Raw genomic sequence first — 21,104 nt, forward strand, 5'->3', positions numbered from 1 at the left:
TACATAATTCTTCTTTACAAGTGTGCATGAGAAGCTAAAATTCTGATTTATTTAAAATAAAAATTACATGTGTTTGATGAGGTTTTTTCCAGGTAAATATATATACAATCTGTACGTATATTGACACACAGCTTAGTGATAGTCTCTGGATTCATTTTAGCAATGTAAAGATACAGCTTTGATCCACTTTCTTCACCTCTTCCAGCTTCATATTTTTCATCAGTAAAAATGGGAACAGTGATAGTAGCAACTTCCCAGGGTTGTGGAAAGGATTAAAGGAGAAAATACACGCTAAGTCCACAGAGTAAAAGCTAAATGTTAGCTGCTTCCCTCCCACAATGCCTGTGTCCTGTTGCCTTAAAGATGCTGTTATGCCAACCCTAGTAGCCCAAAATAGATGGTCCCTCCTCATCTCTGAGTAAAAAAAAAAACAAGAAATTTAATCACCAGACAAAGAAAACACAGTTTTCTATTTCTAGATATCAATCTTAAAGTAGCACAAAGAGTGGAAAAGTGTCTCTGAAAACACATTTTCATCTAGGTTGGCTGTTTCTAGAATTTAGAGAACAATGCATTCTAAAAATACTGTGCCTGCATTCATCTTCCCTTGTTTTCCCGCTCCGAGGGCCACTTTATACTCCTGCCGGGATATGACAGCTGAAAGGGCCTTTTGGAAAACACGCCTTACCAAATGGAGTCCTCGGGCCTTAGATCTTATCAATTTTTGTTCAAGATCCAAAACTAAGTTGTTTTATGCATTTTCTGGGTTTTAAGTATTACCCTTCCCCCGCACCCACCACCCCCTCACCAGTAACACACAGCCCGAGCCTTATCAACACTGTTCCTAAGCCCTATTTGTTTCTTAATTGATGCTTTCCCACATCATCCATCACATGTAGGTACAAGGCACTGCAGTTCCTGGAATTTTTGAAAATATCAGCAGTCCCCATCTGATGAAATAGTTACATACCAGAATTTCTTTATAAACTTGGTTATTTGGGTCTGGACACGGTGGCTCATACCTGTAATCCCAGCACTTTGGGAGGCCAAGGCAGGGGGATCACTTGAGGTCAGGGTTTCGAGACCAGCCTGGCCAACATGGTGAAACCTTGTCTCTACTAAAAATACAAAAATTAGTTGGGCGTGGTGGCACATGCCTGTAGTCCCAGCTACTAGGGAGGCTGAGGCAGGAGAGTCACTTGAACCTGGGGTGCAGAGGTTGCAGTGAGCTGAGATAGCACCACTGTACTGCAGCCTGGGTGACAGAGTAAAACTCTTGTCTAAACAAAACAAAACAAAACAAAAGTTGGTTATTTGGAACCTGAAATGAAGTGGGGTCATTTTCCATAAGTAGGAAACAAAGCCCTCTAAGTTCTGTTTAACTCATGGTATAGTCAAAAAATAATTTACAAAATTGAATTGTGTATTCGTTTGACAACTATTTATATACCTGCCTGGCACTATGTGAGGCTCTTGGAGAGAAGCCAATTAAACATCCATTCCAGGCCTTCAAGGGGCTCACACTCTAGTTTCAATTTTTATCATCAGTCATTTTATGGAGCTTACTACATGCCAGGAGCCATGCTAAATACTTTAAAAATATTAACTAATCTAATCCTATCCTCATAACAACATTATGAGGTAGGCACTATTATTATCTCCAATATATGGATGAGGAAACTGAGGCACAGAAGAGGTCAAGTCACTTGATGAAGTCATGTAGCTAGTAAGTGGTAGAGTGAAGACTGAATCCCAGGCGGTCAGGCTCCTAGCTTTATCTCTTCACCGGTTTACCACCTTGTTTTTTGGTGGAGAATTCCCTCAGATTCCACCTGAGGGCCCTGGTTGTGTACTAAGGGTGGGTACATGTGTCCCCCATATCCTCACTTCCTCTGTGCCTGCAGGGACACCCTCCCTTCTCCCTACCCCATTTCTCCTCCATCCGTCTCAGCTCTAGTTAAGGACAAAAGGCTATTGAGTCCTCATGATCACCTTCCCACCTCCCTCCTAGCACTGTGGATTCAGCTTGAACCTCACCTCTCTCCTGCCCTCCTTCAATACCCGAATCATCCTCACCTGGACTATCTCTATCACCTCCTAATGGGCTTTTGTCTCTCCAGTCTTTCCTTCAATACTATTGTCTTAGTCTATTTTGTGTTGCTGTAACAGAATACCACAGGCTGGGTGGTTTGTAAAGAAAAGAAATTTATTTCTTACAGTTCCGTAGGCTGAAAGAGTTCAAGCAATTCACCCACCTCAGCCTCCCAAGTAGCTGGGACTACAGGTGCACACCACCATGCCCAGCTAATTTTTGTATTTTATGTAGAGAGGGGGTTTTACCATGTCGCCCAAGTTGGTCTTAATCTCCTGGGCTCAAGTGATCCACCCACCTCAGCCTCCCAAAGTGCTAATATTACAGGCATGAGCCACCATGCCTGGCCCTCTTTTCTTTAAAAACAATTTGTTTTTAAACTTGTAAGTAATATATAATCTCTGAAGAAAAATTAGAAGATACAGACAAAGCAAAAAGAAGAAAAAATTAAGTTACTCAGGGCATTCACAATGTTGCCCAGGCTGGTCTTGAACTCCCAGGCTCAAGTGATCCACCCACCTCAGCCTCCCAAAGGGCTGCAATTACAGGTACGAGTTACCATGCCTGGTCTTACGAACTTTACTTTTAACAAAGATTCAGTATTAATGTTATGCTAATGGGTCATATCATGTCTGGGTAAGAAAATGTCAGTGGTTACAGGTGGCATCCAGCCTTGTGGATTTGGCCCTTGGAGCCTCTGTTATCTGACCCTTACCCTGGAAGGGGTGGTCACCCCTGAGGACCTGTGAGTCTTCCTCATACATGACTCACTGTGCTTCCACCTTAGTATTTCCCAAACCTGGACCTTCCCTTGGGCAGGGAAAGCCTACTAGACAGCAGAGCTATGGGTCATTCCGGAAAAAATTCCCTAGTGTAGAAGTGAGAATCTTCCTCCTGAGCACCCTCTGTGATGAAGTCTCCAGGGCCCCATGGTGCCCTGCATGTTCGAACGTATTTTCATTTTCCTTCGTTTTCTTGATTTCTTAGATGATTTCATCTCACAGGAGGCAGAATCTGAGTAAGTGTTCTTTTGTAGTTTCTTTGAATTGAATCAGAGCCCAGAGATGTCAGAGACCAGATAAAAGGGGACTGCTGGACCTACCACACTGACCCTATTGCAGTACCAGTCCCCAGAAGGTACAGCCTGACACACTTACACACACATGCGTGTACACGTGCACACACACATCCAAAGACCAAAACTGCTGTTTTTTCAAATTCTCTAATGCGTCAGCAGAAAGCTACAGAGCTATGATCCTTTCTCCTTATCTCTACAGACCAAAATCATAGCTAGTTCTCTTTTGTTTCATGGGATTAAAGAAAAAAAAAACCTACCGAATTGTCACAAGTTGATTCACATGCTGTAAAAAAACCCAATTGTATAATATGCCATTCTTAATGGTCAACTTGGAGAAGAAAATGTGAAATATGCAGCTGATAATCTTTTCAGTTTCGGGCTGGGCTGGCTGATTCATCAAACCCTGATCTGACATGTCCCCTCTATCCTCTCAACCATTTCCTTGACTCACTAGAATTATTCCTTCCAAAAAGGAACCTTGTCTGCTCGATGGATGTATAGACCATGCATTGCATTTTAGAAACAGTAAAAGTAAGGGCTAAAAATAGCCAGAAAGTGCTTTAGTCAAGAATCTCTAGTTGAAATTCAGGGGCATTTGTGTTCAAGAAAACAAGACCTCCCAAGAACAGCAGATTTTTAAACTTTGAATTTGATCCAAAAATGGAAATCTATACATATGATGAACTGTGTTTCTTATTTCTTTCAATTCAGCACCCTCCTGTAGTACCTGAGCATGGGGTACAGAGGTAACAGAACAGAGGACATGCATTGTTAAAGAAAAATCTGGGGTGGTGACAAGCCAAAAGTCTACCAGCCAAAAGGTCGAGAGATTGTGTAGAAGGAAGCTCACATCTTCCACACTCAAAAATATAACTGAGCTACTTTGCTGCTCAACAGTTATTGCTCAATTTTTATTTATTATTTTTATTATTATTTTGAGATGGAGTTTAGCTCTTGTCCCCCAGCCTGGAGTGCAATGGCACCATCTCGGCTCACTGCAACCTCTGTCTCCTGGGTTCAAGCAATTCTCCTGCCTCAGCCTCCCAAGTAGCTGGGATTACAGGCATGTGCCACCACGCCTGGCTAATTTTTGTATTTTTAGTAGAGACGGGGTTTCACTGTATTGGCCAGGCTGGTCTCGAACTCCTGACCTGATGATCTGACTGCCTTAGTCTCCCAAAGTGCTGGGATTACAAGTGTGAGTCACCATGCCCGGCTCAATTTTTATTGTAGACTATGTTGCTCAATGTTAAGAACCAAAATTAATGAATGCTTTAAAATTTATAACACCTCTTCCACAAGCCATGGATGCTCATTCCTTCCCTTCCTTTGTTGAGTATTTGTGACGCACATACTACATGCCAAGAGTTATGCCAGGCTTTGCAGGCACTTACACGCCAAGTAAGAACATGGGCTCCTATGGAAGCCTTCGGAGGGGTCACCTCTGTTTGAGGGTCAGGGGAGGGCTCTCAGTAGAAGTTACATAGAAAGACAATTGGCCAGGCGTAGTGGCTCACGCCTGTAATCCCAGCATTTTGGGAGGCCGAGGAGGGTGGATCACGAGGTCAGGAGATTGAGACTGTCCTGGCTAACACGGTGAAACCCCGTCTCTACTAAAAATAGAAAAATCTAGCCGGGTGTGGTGGCAGGCGCCTGCAGTCCCAGCTACTGGGGAGGCTGAGGCAGGAGAATGGTGTGAACCCGAGAGGCAGAGCTTACAGTGAGCCGAGATGGCGCCACTGCACTCCAGCCTGGGTGACAGAGCGAGACTCCATCTAAAAAAACAAAACAAAAAAACAATTAGGCACAAAAAGGGTGAGGACAAAGGAAAGAAAAGAAAGATTCCAGGCAGAAAGACCAGAGGGTAGAAAGGACTATGTCAAGGAAGCCCAGATCTGTTTAGCTGGCATATGGAGAAGGAGCAGTGCAATGGAGAAAGACACAAGCATGCAGGGGCTGGGTCTCAAAGCCACGTTAAGGAGGAGTATTTATCCTCAGGCTTTCTCTGAAGGAAACAGGGAGAAGCAGCAAAGGATGTAAAGTGGTGAAGCGGGAACCCAACTTGTGTTTTAGGAAGATGCCTCGGGTTCAGTGTGGGGAATGGATTTGAGAGACAGAAAGGAGGCAGGCAGATCTCCAAGTTAGCAGCAGGAATGCAGGCCAAAGACTAAGCAGCCTCTGAAAGGTAGAGTCACTGGGCTGAAGAAAACTGGAGGACTCTGGAGATATTTAGAAGGCAGGCAGGTTGAGATTTGGTGGGAAACAAGGTAAAGGAAAGAGGCCATGATGCCACCCCAGCTTCTGGCTTTGGCAACAGATAGGTACTATTTGGGGGGATGCAAATACCTAGAGGGGTGGGGGGGTTGGGGGGCAGGTAGGAAAGGTAAGAAGTTTAGGGGAGAACTTCAAAAGCAGCTATCCCAAAGGCCTCTGTCAGGACCCTGAGGGACACCCCCAATTAAGGGATGGACACAAGAAGGGGTAACTGCAAAGGAATCCAAGATGGAGTGGTCAGAAATGTGAGCAGTAAACAGGAGAGTGTGCAGTCACAGAGAGAAAGTCAATCTTATGTAGCACATGGCAGAGGTCAGAGTGGAAAAAGTCACTAGATATGGCCATGGCAAGACCTGGTGGCCAAGGCAGTTGAGTCACTTATTCAACACAATAGTATGGAGTACAATAACAAGGTCAGAGGAGGGGAAAAGGAGGAATCCAGGCTGAGGTGGGTGGAGAGGAGGGAGAGAGGTGAGGGGCAGGAGGGAGGGGTGCCTGCAGTCACCAAAGGGTTTTTATTGAGATAGGAAAGACTGAAGGTTGTCAAGCACTATTTATTGTTGTTCCCATTTTTATCTGGAGGTCTTTTCTCAAGACCACATATCTAAAAAGTGGAAGAGCAGGAATTCAAATACACGTTTGCTAACTCTTTTCAAAACACTCATTTGGCAGCAATAAATGGCCTTTACTGATGCAAAAACAAGTAGTCTGGGCTGGGCGTGGTGGTTCCTGCCTGTAATCCTAGCACTTTGGAAGGTTGAGGCAGGCAGATCACTTGAGGTCAGGAGTTCAAGACCAGCCTGGCCAACATGGTAAAACCCCTCTCTACTAAAAATACAAAAATTAGCTGGGCGTGGTGGCATGTGCCTGTAATCCCAGCTATTCGGGAGGCTGAGGCAGGAGAATCGCTTGAACCTGGGGGGCAGAGGTTGCAATGAGCCGAGATTACGCCACTGCACTCCAGCCTGGGCAAGAGTGAGACTGTCTCAAAAAAAAAAAAAAAAGTACTCTGGGCTGCCTGTCTTCCCTCCTTCTCCACTCTCCTACCCCCTGTAAATGACTGCTACATACAACTACGACACTAAAGTGGAAGGAAAAACTGTCATGCTGAACCACAGCTCTCCCAAATTTGTGACATAGATGTACAGATGATGATGACACAGTTACCGTCAGAAAAGGCATTCCAAATACTTACGCTTAACCCTAAAATGAAAGGAAATTTAACTTCTAAAACAATATCCCAGAAAAGACAAGTGTCATTTTTCAATTCCACTACTTGGCTCAAAGGGCTTCTTTTCTTTTCCTGGTTGTGACATTTCATTGTTTTACTCTCAAAGGAGCAGAGAGCCTGCAGACCAGCAGGGGGCCCTGCCGCAGAGGAGGAAGATGTGGGGCCAGGGGCCTGGCCAGTGGTGGACGAGATGTCTGGTAGGGGTCTGGACAATCTGAGTCCATAACCAGTCAGTCCTGGGGGGTGTCGCCATCAGAAGATACCAAGCCACATAAAATACACGTAACTCGGGGATAAAAAGGAAGCGGAGGGATAATAAGAGGAACAGGATAAAGAGAAAGAAAATAAGAAAATGATCTATGTCTAGTATCTGTCTATAAGGACAGTGAGTCAACATTTTTGGAAATCCAGGCTCTTTCTCTAGCCTTTTACTCCAGAGCTTTCAAGGGCTGACATGGGATGGAAGGATTCTTATGTCATCAAGTCTAATACTGCAATTTTACTTGTCTATTTATTGCTTATAAACTGACACTGTCTTTCATTTATGTTTTATTACACCGGTAATTCATGAATACAGATCCTCTTTACAGATATGGCTTGATTCTCCTTGGGTCCCCCTCCCCCTTCCCCACCACCCACCATGTCCCAACCCCTCTCCCTGACCTCTGTCTCTGGGGCCCTCCCTCCTCTGCTACAGCCCTTCTACAGCCCTTCATTTGCTTATACCTCTTGTTTTAGAATTTTCCTAAAGTGAGCCAAATTCTTTTCCATCTTGAGAGGTTTTTTGTTTTTTTTTTTTAACTTCATAGCATCCATCAAGATAGTGGCTGACACTTCTGCTGTAATAAAACTGGAATTAAAAAAAAAAAAATCTAGAGGCTTTCCAGAGCTTGCTTAGAGGCTTTGCTCTGCCTCCCAAGATGAACCAACTTACTCTTCATAATCTAAGTAAGGTCTAAGCAATGTTATTTCTTTGAAAATTTACATTAGAGCTTTTCCAAATCCCTGGCACACACTCTCCATTTAAAACTAACTATGGAGACCAAAGCCTGTTATATAAGCATCCAAGTCTGCAGCCATGGGCCATATTTCTTCAGCTGCCAGATCACATGACTGATAACAAAGCCAAGATAAAGGCAATAATTTTTTAAAATTTTTTTCTAGAAGAAAAAAAGCCCTACATATTTGAAAAAATAAAAAGATTAGGATCATTCCCATCAGAAGCTATTCTAAGTGGTTATTCCTCAAAATTAAAACAAAAATAAATTTGATTTTAAAACAAGCCACATCTACAGTGGCCACGGTGGGTTGCCTTCCTAACGTTGATTTCCCTTTCTCCCTCTTTAAGGAACTCCTATTTTCCGCAACTATTCACCCCGTTCATCCCCAAGGCAGAGTCTGAGTCAATCTTCATGGCATTCCTCCTGGGACTATTATTGACCCAGGGACAAGCATGTGACCTAATGTACCCAATCACACTAAAGGGAAGAACTTATTTGCTGGAAAAGGGAAACATATCAACCCAGTGGCTACTGGCAGCCATCTTGCAACCATGAGGGACACCAGCCTGAAGAGCACAAAGAGTTTAAGGAGATGGAAAGGACTTGTGTGTTTGGTGATAGTTTAGTAATTGAGTCAGTCAATCAGGGATTGACCTAACTCTGTACTTTTTATTCTGTGACATACAAAGCATCTCTATCTAAGGCTCTGTGAGTCAGGATTCCTGTTGCTTTCTCCAAACGGCTATAACACCAAAGAAGCGGGGAGATGGGGGAATCTGGTGCCATTTCCTTTTCCTTTTCTCTAAAAAGTTTCTTTGCTCTTTGGTTCTTTTTTAGGAAACAGCCTCTTACTATGTTGCCCAGGCTGGAGTGCAGTGGCTATTCACAGGCACAATCGTAGCACACTACAGCCTCAAACTCCTGGGTTCAAGCTATGCCCAGTTATGCTTTAGCCTTTGCATAGCTGGGACTATAGATGCAAGCCACTGCATCCAGTTCTGGCACCATTTTTCTGACCTACAAATTACATTTTGAAAGTTTCTTGGTTTAGCAGCTCATGCCTGTAATCGTAGCACTTTGGGAGGCTGAGGTGGCAGACTGCTTGAGCCCAGGAGTTTAAGACTAGCCTAGGCAACATGGTGGAACCCCATCTCTATAAAAAAATACAAAAATTAGCCAGGCATGGTGGTGCATGTCTGTAGTCCCGGCTACTCAGGAGGCTGAGGCAGGAGGATCGCTTGAGCCTGGGAGGTGGAGGCTGCAGTGAGCCATGTTTGCACCACTGCACTCCAGCCTGGGAAACAGAGCAAGACCCTGTCTCAAAAAAAAAAAAAAAAAAAAAAAGGCTTCTTCTTTCCTTCACTGTAATGGTTGCACTATCCATTCACTGTATCCACATGCATTTTTATAGCTGAGTACATTTTTCCAGGTTTTGTAGGAATTTTAATGGGTTTAAGCCTAGTAATTAAATATATATTAACTGGCTGCTACCACAGAAAGTTCAAGAGAAGCAAACTCAGCTCTGAGGATACTGAGCCCCTACCAGTGCCTGCCAAGATGCTAGAGATTATAACAATTGACAATGGCAGTCCCTGTCTGTGCTTGTGGGTTTACCTTCTGGTGAGGGGAGGAAGACAGTCAACAAGAACAACAGATGGTTTAGATAGTAACAACAGCACAGAAAGCACTTGCGGGGAGGGCAAGGCCTGCTTTAAATTGAGTTACCAGGAATGGCCTTTGCAAGGAGGTGACATTGAAAGCTGAGATCAGAACAAGGTGGGAGTCATATCTGGGGGAATAAGAAAGGAAAGAATAAACCTTGAATGTTTCAGTAGCATCAATAAATTCTGGTTTATTAGAAGGTGCCAAGAGATGGAGAGGGTGGAGGGAAATGAGGTTGGCAGGTGGGCAGGAGCCTAGACATTTGGGCCCTATAGGCCAAGGAAAGTGGATCTACATTTTATTTTAAGTCAGGGATTCTTACTTGTTTCTGTGTTATATACTTCCTAGGCAGCCTGCTGAACCCTATGGACCTCTGCTTGCAAAATGTTTTTAAATGGCGAAGACAAAAACAAAAAAATGTAGGATTATGAAAGACCAAGGATGGGACTGTGGGGGCAGGGAGATTATGGGAGTGATTTATCCCGCCAGGGAAGAGTATTTTTATCATGGACATTGTTTAGAGTTACCAGCTTATAGTGATCATAGAAGAATAGACTTTAAGTTGACTGTATTATTGTTTTGTTTTGTTTTTGAGACGGATGGAGTGTAGCGGTGTGATCTCGGCTCACTGCAAGCTCTGCCTCCCGGGTTCACGCCAATCTCCTGCCTCAGCCTCCCGAGTAGCTGGGACTACAGGCGCCCACCACCAGGCTCGGCTAATTTTTTGTATTTTTTTAGTAGAGACAGGGTTTCACCGTGTTAGCCAGGATGGTCTCGATCTCCTGACCTCGTGATCCGCCTACCTCGGCCTCCCAAAGTGCTGGGATCACAGGCAGGAGCCACCGTGCTCAGCCTGTATTATTGTTTTTAAATAATAAAAGCACACCACCTTGTTGCCTAAATCCAGGGCAGACTGAGCCCACATCCCTCTTGCCACCCCCTTGGTACACCTTTTTTTTTTTTGAGACAGGGTCTCACTCTGTCACCCAGGCTGGAGTGCAGTGGAGCAGAGATCTCGGCTCCCTGCAACTTTCACCTCCCAGGCTAAAGCGATTCTCCCATCTCAGCCTCCCGAGTAGCTGGGACTACAGGCACAAACCACCACACCAGGCTAATTTTTTTTTTTTTTTTTAAGTTAGAGACAGGTTTTGCCATGTTGGCCAGGCTGGTCTCGAACTCCTGACCTCAAGGGATCTGCCCACCTCGGTCTCCCAAAGTGCTGGGGTTACAGGCATGAGCCACTACACCCAGCCCCGTTGGTACACTTCTGATTAAGAAAACTCATTACATTGAGCTGGGCATGATGGTTCACACACCTGTAATCCCAGCATTTTGGGAGGCTGAGGTGGGTGGATTGCCTGAGCTCAGGAGTTCCAGACCAGCCTGGGTAACATGGCGAAACCCTGTCTCTATTAAAAATACAAAAATTAGCCAGTCTCATAACCTGGTCTCAAGAGAGATAGATAGATAGATAGATAGATAGATCGATAGATAGATAAAAATTAATATAAACAAACAATTTAATTAAAAATAAAATATAATTTGCAACATAAAAATCTAATTTATTAAATAACTTCTTTGTTCATATTTATTTTTTATTTTTATTTTTTAGAGACAGAGTCTCACTCTGTCACCCAGGATGGAGTGTAGTGGTACGATCATGGCTCACTGCAGCCTCAAATTCCTGGGCTCACGTGATCCTCCTGCCTTAGCTTCCTGAGTAGTGTGCTGAGACTACAGGTGTGTGCAACCATGGCCAGCTGATTTTATAATTTTTTTGTAGAGATGGGGTCTTACTATGTTGCCCAGGCTGGTCTCTAGCTCCTGGCCTCAAGCAGTCCTTCCACCTCAGCCTCCCAAAGTGTGAGCCACTGTGTCTAGCCTGTTTAAATAACAGATATGGTGGCAGATCTAACCACTACTGTCATTTTACAATCAAATGGGCATACAAAATATTCTGAGATATATGTAACCAGTATAATGTGAAGAGAAAATCACAGTGGGTTCTTTTGGTGACAAAGTCACAAGTAACTGCTGATATTGCTGTGGTTTTTTGTCCTCATTTATAGAAAGGAAATGTAAATTTCAGTTGGAGGTTAGTGAAAATACAGATGTAATTTTTTTTCCAATCCAAGTTTAGAGACCCCATGGAAGCCCCTGGAAGTTACTGGAGAGTTTGACTAAGGAGTGTAATCTGATTTATGTTTCTAAAAAGATCTGCCTAATGGTTGGTGGGGGATGACGTGATTAATACGTGCCAAGTTCATTTCGTGCTCAGAAGCTGGCAATGGTCAGCTGTAAGGAAGAGCGATACCAGGGCTTCTCTTGAATCATGGCTACTAAAGAACAAAGAAGATCTGCCTTTATGAGTGGTCTCTAGGCCCACAATGAAAAGGCAATGCGGCAGAAATAAAGCACCTCCAGCCCCCTGCTGCAGGGAAAGGAGAGGAGATTCATGGCTAGGAGAGGCCCCTGTGCAAATCTGCAAAGTCTTGGAGAAAAGAAACCATGTCGGCTTTAGCTTCCTGTAAGACAAGTGTGATGATAAGCACCTCTCAGGCTTGTTATGTAGGCAGAGGGGCTGCTGCAGTATGAAGCGCCTGTCACCAGTGAGTGGTGGTCAGTGCCAGGGTGGTATCTTCCCTTTTGGTGCCTTCTGCCTGGGACTTTGGCCATCAACTTCAGACTGGGGTGGGACATGGAGGAGTCTTAGGGGCCATCTAACTTTGAAGAAGTCAAAGGATGGCCTTAGATTGTCTAGAAAGCTTGGGGCTGGAAGGAACTGGAACCTAATCTATCATCTAGGTTTGGTAGAAAACCAACACAAGCTCCTCAAATGCTCAAAATTTAAAACCTAGATTGCCCAGGTGAAAGCATGCAAAAGAAACAGTCTTCCTAGCAGGAAAAGCAAGGAAATTTGAGCCCAATGGAGGCTTGGGGGCAGTGGCTAAAGCAGAGGCTTCAAAGTTCCCTGAGCCCGGGATTTTCTCTCTTGATACATTTACAGAAGGGGCTATGGATCTCCCACTTCTTAAATGGAACCTGAGTATAAAATGTACAAGGGCCTGGGGACTGAGGGCTGGGGTCGGAAAGGCCTGGATCTGCTGGGCCCTCAGGAGGCTGTTCAGGGCCTTGCAGGGAGCAAAGAGTAGAGTCTGCCACTGCCAAATCCCAAAGATCCTGCCGGAAGCATCCCCTCTTCCCACAAAGCTATAGAATGTACCTCAGACTCTTCCTCCTTTCTCTCTTCTAAAAGTGAATGAAGCCTTCTAACCTGTTGGTTTTTTTTTTTTTTTTTAACTCTCTCTCTACCAAATGTCTTCAATCTAATAAGCAGCAGCTCTGCTTCCACTGGTCTATAACCTATAATAGTTCCCAAATGATCCCTAAAACCTATACACAGCAACAGGATGCACTAAAATAATGGGGTTATCTCTGGCCAATCTGCTACAAAGGCAAAAACATAGATGCTAATCCACAGCTTAAAATGAAGGAGCAAATGAAAGAGTAAGCCCCTGACCCTCCCCACCCACCCACCTTTTGGGACTTTAAAAGGAATGGTATGGAGGTAAAGGCAGGGTGAGGGGAGTGGGAGGGGGAGCAGGGTCAGACTGCCCTTCTGTAAGTGTGAGAGATGCAACAAAAACCTTGCAGATGACCTCAGAACCAACCAAGAACCTCCCTACTCCACAAATCCCCCTACTCCAATGCCTACTGGTTCAGCAGAACCCAGGTCTGTCGAACAGCCAACACCAAAACATTTTTTAAAAGGGTGGGGAAATACTCTTTCCCTGAATCCCTGCTCTTGTTCCAATGGCTAAACAAAAAGCTTTTATCAGGATTATTTCACTGGGCGACATGGCACAAAGAAAGCAGTCCATTTGCAGTCTGAAGGTCAACAGGGCTGCTCTTGTTTCAATTTGTTGCTCCTCTATGAGGCCAAGGCTGAATCTGGGCCCCCCTCCGCCTGGGAACCCCCATGCCAATGTGCATTCCCTTAAAGTCTCACACAGGACGAGGCTGCTGCAGGCGGCTGACTGAGACTGACCAGCAAATTACACCTCTTGCCTTCCCCTTGACCCTGCCATTAGATTTTTTATTTTTTTAAGGTCAATGAAAATGCTATCAACACTCCTCCATTGGAAAATGTTTGTGGTTGCAGCTGAGCATGCCTGTTACAACTGCTGACAAAGGATTCCCAACTTATAGGACGCAAGAGTCAAATGCACCCCCTTAGCAAACCTCCCCTAGCTTTTTCCACTTCATTTAGGCTGTGTACCCTGGGCTGATTCATTAGAATTCTTACATTCACTCCTACTCATTTGAAGAGTTTGGTTTTGTTTTTCTAGTGACTCACATCTGGTGTGCTTTAAAAAGGCAACCTAATTAAAGACCGGTCTTGTTTGCCATAAATGAAATGTTAAGTGTATACAGTGGTGCCCCCTAACCATGTCTTCTAACATCCAAGGAGTTAGAAAGAAGGACTTGAAGAAAGATGGTTGTGTAAGCAAACTCAGATACTGATCTCCTATTATTAAACCAACACATTTACCTTTTTCTTTTTTTTTTTTGAGACAGAGTCTCACTCTGTTGCCCAGGCTGGAGTGCAGTGGCGCGATCTCGGCACACTATAACCTCCGCCTCCCATGTTGAAGCAGTTCTCATGCCTCAGCCTTCCGAGTAGCTGGGATTCAGGTGTGTGCCACCACACCCAGCTAATTTTTTTTTTTTTTGAGACATTGTCTCACTGTGTCGCCCAGGCTGGAGTGCAGTGGTGCAATCTTGGCTCACTGCAACCTCTAAATCCCAGGTTCAAGCGATCCTCTCACCTCAGCCTCCGGAGGAGCTGGGATTACAGGTGTGTGCCACCATGCCCGGCTAATTTTCATATTTTTACTAGAGATGGGGTTTTGCCATGTTGGCCAGGCTGGTCTTGAACTCATGACCTCAAGCAATCCACCCGCCTTGGCCTCCCAAAGCACTGGGATTATAGGTGTGAGCCACCACACCTGGCCATTTTTGTATTTTTTAGTAGAGACAGGGTTTCACCATGTTGGCCAGGCTGGTCTTGAACTCCTGGCCTCAAGTGACCCACCTGCCTCAGCCTCCCAAAGTGCTGGGATTACAGGTGTGAGCCACCACACCCGGCCCACATTTACCTTTTAATCCTCTGCCTGAAAAACCGATAGCACTCAAAACATCATGAACCTAGGGAATTTGGCACTGGAAAGGACACAATTCATCTATATTATTTTATATTTGTGGAAACTGAGACCCAGAGAGGTGAAGCAATACATACAAGGTCTGATAGCTATACAATGACAGAAGGTAAAATAAAACCCACATCTTCTAACGCATGCCAAGAAGGGAAACATTTACTAAGTGCCCACTCAAGACCAGGCAGTAAAGATACATAGCCATATATGTCTCTCAAACTTGTCTGCCCTACAGACAGCTAAGCCAGGACACCACCATCTCTCATCAGAAAACTAAGGCAGCTTTCTACTCATCATCCACATCTACCCTTGGTTTCATAATCAACCAGAGGAATGAAAGCATAAATGACACCCCTGCCTAACACATCCCCTTCCTAGTGACTCCATACTGTTCTTAGTATAAAGATGCAAATCTTGGGCATAGCCTTTGAAGCTATGTGTGGTCTGGTTCCTGTCAACTACTCCAGTCTCACCATCTACCACCTACCAGCTGCATTTGCCTTCAAAGCAGCATGTTCCATCCTGCCACAGGGCCCTTGCACATGCTGTTCCCAAGGTCACAGCTCTTTCACTCTCCTCTTTAACCTGGTTAACACCTTACCTTCTTTCAGCTTTCACTTCCCCAGAAAAGGCTTCCTTGGCCTTTCATGACTAGGTCAAGCTCCCTGGTTAAATGCCCTAACAGCAACATGTCTCTCTTTTCTTCAAAGCTTTTGTTTTCATTTGTTATTATATTCTTGTTACGGTGATTATTAACATCTGCCTCCATAATTGGACTGTAAGTCACCAGCACCTTGCCTGGTTTGCTCACCATGTTATTCTCTTACCACCAACCAACACAGCGTGACTATAGGAGATGCTCAGTCAATGTGAATATCAATGAAAGAATGAGGAAAGAATAAAAGAATACATGTAAGGTCCTCAAGGACCTTACAGTTTAGAATGATCTTCCAAGTCACCTGTAAATCAGGAAGCTATGCAATGATCAATGCCACTTAACATAGACCTTCCTCAGAGAGTGTCTTGATAGCCCCCTCTTCAGTTATTATATTACATATAATAAAATTTCAAAGTTTACTCAGCAAATGTCACCCTTTTGTCAAGAACATGAGACCTTCAGTCAAACATAAGCCCCCAAACTAAACAAAGCCTCCAAGGTCCCAAAGGCAATTTTGTTCTTTACTGTGGTATACTGGGAGCCCATTAATCATTCCCTTTATTATATAAAACACAGCAATAACCCTCCCTTCATACCATCCCTATTTCCAGACACATTCTTCATGAGTTGCCAGAAGCTGGTTCATTTCTCATTTCAGACACTCCTCCACTTCCCTGTGGGGATGGCGAGCACATGGCAGGCCTATTTCCACAACCTGACAATAATTTAAATGAAGTCGCAGCCTCAATTTCTGGTTGTATTACAGAGAGGGAACATCATCAAGGCACATAACAAAACTTAAACAGCAACCTAGAAGAGAACATGCTACCACAGCGCACAGATTGGTTAGAAAGGAGAATGATTCCGCTACGGCAAACAGAGCAGAGCAAAACACAGCAAGTTGTCAACAGCTATGAGAAATGCACATCAGAAACGTGCTTATGATGAAACCTTCTTTTCTATGTGAAGGCAAAACCACATGAAATATCAAATGTAAAGGAAGATAATTTATAATTTTTTAAAGCCAATGTTTTTCAGTTACACATAATATTCAAATTTGTGAAAACTCACTGTATCCAAACCATGTTAAAAAATATGTTTTTAAAAGGTTTTTCTCTCCTCTATGGAAGTTAGTAAATTACTGTGCCTTTAATGACATTTAGGCATGTGGCTAGTGAGGTGTGATCTGTGAGCTTGGACATTGTTATGAACAGAATATTTGTGTCCCTCTGAAATTCATATGTTGAAATTCTACCCTTAATGTAATGGTATTGGGAGGTGGGGCTCTTGGGAAGTGTGTAGGTAATGAGAGCAGCACACTCTACAACCCAGAAGAGGACCCTCACCAGAACTGGAATCCTAATCTCACACTCCTAGCCTTCAAAACTGTGAGAAATCAATTTCTGTTGTTTATAACCCACCCAGGCTATGGTATTTTGTTATAGCAGCCCAAAGAAAGACAGACATCCTATTCAAAATGCAATCACCTCTGTTAGCCGTAGGTGAATCATTTGCCTTTTGGGTTATCTGCAAATGAAAAAAAAAAAATGAAATAAATTAGCCAAGTGTGGTGGCCTGCACCTGTGGTCCCAGCTACTCAGAAGGCTGAGGCAGGAGGATTGCTTGAGCCCAGAAGGTCAAGGCTGAGGTGAGCTGTGATCATGCCATTGTACTCCAGCCTGTGTGGCAGAGTGAGATCCTGTCTCAAAACACAAAACAAAACAAAACAAACCCCACCTTTCTTTATTAGCATGATTAAGCTGAGTAGATCATCAGGTCCATTTTCAGGTCCATTCAGCACCTCCTGTTTAGTTTTTCCCTGTCTTGGAAGCTTATAATCAATAAAAGGTATTTTCAACCAAAACCTTATTTACCTTTTCCGAGTAAAACAAGCTAAACACACAGGGTAAAAGGGAGACTAAAGATGGTGGGTTAGTATGACCGGTGCCCTGCGTCATGTTCCTAGGGGAGGCTGCTCCACTCACCCTGGACAGAAAGCAGGGAAGCATTCCACCTTGTCCAGCAGGGAGAACCTGGCACATTCCTACCTCCAACAATGCTGGGTCTCCTCAAAGTGGCTCCTGTATTTTTTTCACAATATTGAGAATGCTCAAGCGGCAAGGCTTACTCATATTTCAATGTAACAGCTAGAACATATTCTGAGTGAGATATAAAAGATGTACTGGTACTCTGTCATTTCTATATCATCTAGAATATACTCCTTTCCACAAGTTTGGATAAACAAGCAATGTATGTTGATTGATAACTCCTTACAAGCATCTTTCATTCTGTAACCACATGGTGGGCACCAGGCATAGTGTTGTGCACTCAATAAACACCCGTTAAGTGGAAAGGAATTGAGACTGCAACAGTGGGATGTTTTTCATTTTAATAGAAAATTTCCATTCCTACCACTATCCTGAGAGATCTTTCCATACCAACTGAGTTAAGTGTAGCACTGGTGTTAACAATTCCACATCCATATGAAATCATGTGTATATTTCACATTCCTTCTATCCTCTTGTCTTTAGCCTGACTTATTTATTAGCTCATAAAAGCCTGGTATTATTTTTACCTATCTTGCTTTGTATATCACAAGGTCTCTTCAGGTAGACCTTGATTTTCCTTTTGTTGTACTGGTTTTCTTTAAAAATGAGGGAAGGCAAATATGTATGTAGAGGAAGACATGTTCTTAAAATGTTGCCAAGATAAATCCAGTTCATGTTTACAGTAACCTTCCAAAGACAGCATGTAACATATGAACAACCAAGTAGCCACTCAATCATTTATCCAACAAATGTTTATCGGACACACAATGCCAGACACTGCCCCAGATGTTGATAATATGGCAAAAACAACAAAATAAAAATTATATTCTACTGTGAAGAGACAAATATAATAAATTTAAAAAATACATAATGTGGCAGGTGATGATAAAGGCTATGAAGAAAAAATAAAGTCAGATAAGAAGAGAGGGGAGTGCCGAGGAGTTAAAATGCTATTTATTTATTTATTTATTTATTTATTTTTTTGAGACAAGGTCTTGCTCTGTCACCCAAGCTGGAGTACAGTGGAGAAATCATGGCTCACTGCAGCCTTAACCTCCTGGGCTCAAGCAGTCCTCCTGCTTCAGCCTCCCAAGTAGCCAGGACCACAGGCACACCACCATGCCTGGATAATTTTTATATTTTTCATAGAGACAGGGTTTCGTCGTGTTGCCCAGGTTGGTCTCGAGCTCCTGAGCTCAAGCAATCCTCCCGCCTCAGCCTCCCAAAGTGCTGGAATTACAAGTGTAAGCTACCGCGCCTGGCCTGGAAATGCTATTTCACATAGTGGGACAGAGGAAGTCTAAGAATATTTGAGCAGAGAACTGAAGGAAAATGAGGAAGACCAGGTTGGAGGCCCTAGACATCCAGCCACTGTGGAAATGAAGAGGGCATGACCATCTGGAGGAAGTGATAATGGTGTGATTCTGGCTCTATTTATCAAACCATCACACTCTTGATCACATCTGCTTGGATATGAATCAAACTTTACAGAATAAAATCAATAGCAAAGGCATTTTGTTAAATACTTCTACTAATAACAATGTACAGAAGTGGCTCATTTCAAACAACCTCGTTCTCCCTAAAATGGAACAGTACCCCACAACCACTCTACATGAACAAAATGAAAGGTCCTCTCTAGATGTAAAAAACCCTAGTGATGTTTCTTTGAAACTCAATGCTTCTAGAGCCTAATGCCTAACTGTAAGGAGAGCACAGATGCAAAGCCCACCACAAAGTATAATTTCTCAAGGTTGGCTTTTACATAAAATAAAGTGAAGCACCTTCCCGACTGAACCTTTGAGTTAACCAGCTAAAAGCAAATAAGTTAATTTCAAGGATATTCTTTTTTTGTTTGTTTTTTTTTTTTTTCGAGACAGAGTCTCGCTCTGTCACCCAGGCTGGAGTGCAGTGTGGTGCGATCTTGGCTCACTGCAGCCTCCACCCACCCTGGGTTCAAGCAAGTCTCCTGCCTCATCCTCCCAAGTAGCTGGGAGTACAGGCGTGTGCCACCACATCCGGCTAATTTTTATATTTTTAGTACAGACGGGGTTTCACCATGTTGGCCAGGCTGGTCTCGAACTCCTGGCCTCAGGTGATCTGCCTGCCTCAGCCTCCAAAAGTGCTGGGATTACAGGCATGAGCCACTGCGCCCAGCCAGTTTCAAGGATATTCTAAGAGAGAAAAATATTACCAGAAAAGAATCCATAGTAAAATTTCTTTCAAAACCAACCAAGAGTCAGAATTGATCCTTTGGAAAAAGGAGAAAAACAACCATGGGTACAGCTTAGATGCGCCTTCTCTGTGCTTGGTTAACTTGTTTCAGAAGCAAGAGTGCAACCCCCACTTGTCTGCAGATGAATGAGTCTTAAGTTTAGCTTCTTTCAGTGGCCCGTGTATGATGTATGGCAGAGCTCAGTAAATGCCAGTTGATTGAATTAGTGGACGCGCTGAGTGAATGCACTAAAGAATGAACAAATTAACTCATTAATTCTAAAACAATATTTTCTTCAATGGAATTTATATAGAGCTGACCAGCAAAATCGTCCCTTTCCTCTGCCAAATAAAGACAAAGAAGCTCTTTAGATTTATTGATTTTAGTGCTGAGTAGAGGATTCCTGTTTTGGAAATTGATATTTTGAGGTACGTGAGGAGTTAAAAAAAAAAAAGTTCCATTTACAGTATTATAAGGGGAAAAGGTCAGTCTGTTGGGAATAAACCCATTCAGGTTTCCCTGCAGGATTGCTAAGGAGTTAATCCAAACCTGGCATTGTGACCACTGAAGATAAGCCCGTGATTTCGTTTCAAATGTTTCACCTTCAATATCAGTCATGAATGTTATGCTTATAGAGAAACCACCTGCTCATACTGAGTCAGCTCTCTCCGTAAAATGATCAGCACATCGCAGGGTAAGTTAAACAGCAGGGTAGAGGAAGACACACAAACCACGAGAATTCTCCTGGTCACTTCATTCTTTTAACATTTCTCTGAAGTTACCCAAGAATTTCAGTGTCCGTCAAGTAATGTAAAATTCTATGCATGGTAAGATCAAGGGCAAAAGTCAACATATCTCCTTCTCTTCACAGAGAACAGGTATCAGACACAATTGAGAAAAGTAAGAAAAACAGACAAACAGCTTCTGCAATTGAAACCAGGAATATATAACCAGATCAAAGATGAGGCTTGATATAATTACATAAATCATTTAGGGGTAAACTCAATTAGCTGGGCATGGAAGCCCAGATGAAACTTCCTAACCAGTATTATTTACATAATTTTCAGGTGGACAGACCCAGGCTCCAGCCTGGAAAAAAAATCAGAAACAAAAGTATTACTTTCTAGTGACTTCTTACAGCAAAAATCTCAGTCAAAATAGTATTAATGATAAACTGAATACATTTTAAGGCAGTTGAAAGGTAAAACTTGTCAATATAACATTCTTTAAATTCACAACTACAATTTATATATATATATATTTTAAATTATGCATGACATAGAAGGAATATACTTCTGGATATATAAGTTTAAGAGTTACAAACACTGTTATTTAAATGAAGTGTACCTTACTACTTGCTCTGGGGTGTAGAGATAGTCATTGTTTGTTATTGGGAAGTATTGGACACAACAAAAATGTTTCTCAGTGGAGAACTGCATTAAAAATAAACTATACCCATCTGTTTTATGCAATAATAAGCAGCAGTTTAAAAGAATAAGATACAGCTTACACTAAATTAATGGATAAACAAACTGTGGTACATCTATACAATAAAATATTTTTCAGTGATAAAAAAGTAGCGAATTACCAAGTCATGAAAAGACATGGAAAAACCATAAATGCATATTACTA

At 43.1% G+C, this 21,104-nt stretch overlaps 1 protein-coding gene across 16 annotated transcripts in view, besides 1 other annotated feature; it reads right to left on the bottom strand.

Moving 5' to 3' along the window:
* ARHGEF3 (Rho guanine nucleotide exchange factor 3) overlaps positions 1-21,104 on the bottom strand; it is a 351,849-nt gene that overhangs the window by 121,827 nt on the left and 208,918 nt on the right. The gene's annotated exons all lie outside the window — the stretch shown is intronic.
* Positions 2,763-3,962: an enhancer, noted in NCBI's record as "P300/CBP strongly-dependent group 1 enhancer chr3:56886037-56887236 (GRCh37/hg19 assembly coordinates)". NCBI's record gives its function as "activates an origin of replication core promoter dependent on BRD2, BRD4, P300/CBP, MED14 and CDK7 cofactors, with strong dependence on P300/CBP, by STARR-seq in HCT116 cells {active_cell/tissue: HCT116}" and the evidence as "EXISTENCE:reporter gene assay evidence [ECO:0000049][PMID:35650434]".

This window comes from Homo sapiens, chromosome 3, assembly GCF_000001405.40.
Source record: "Homo sapiens chromosome 3, GRCh38.p14 Primary Assembly".
Taxonomy (NCBI): Eukaryota; Metazoa; Chordata; class Mammalia; order Primates; family Hominidae; genus Homo; species Homo sapiens.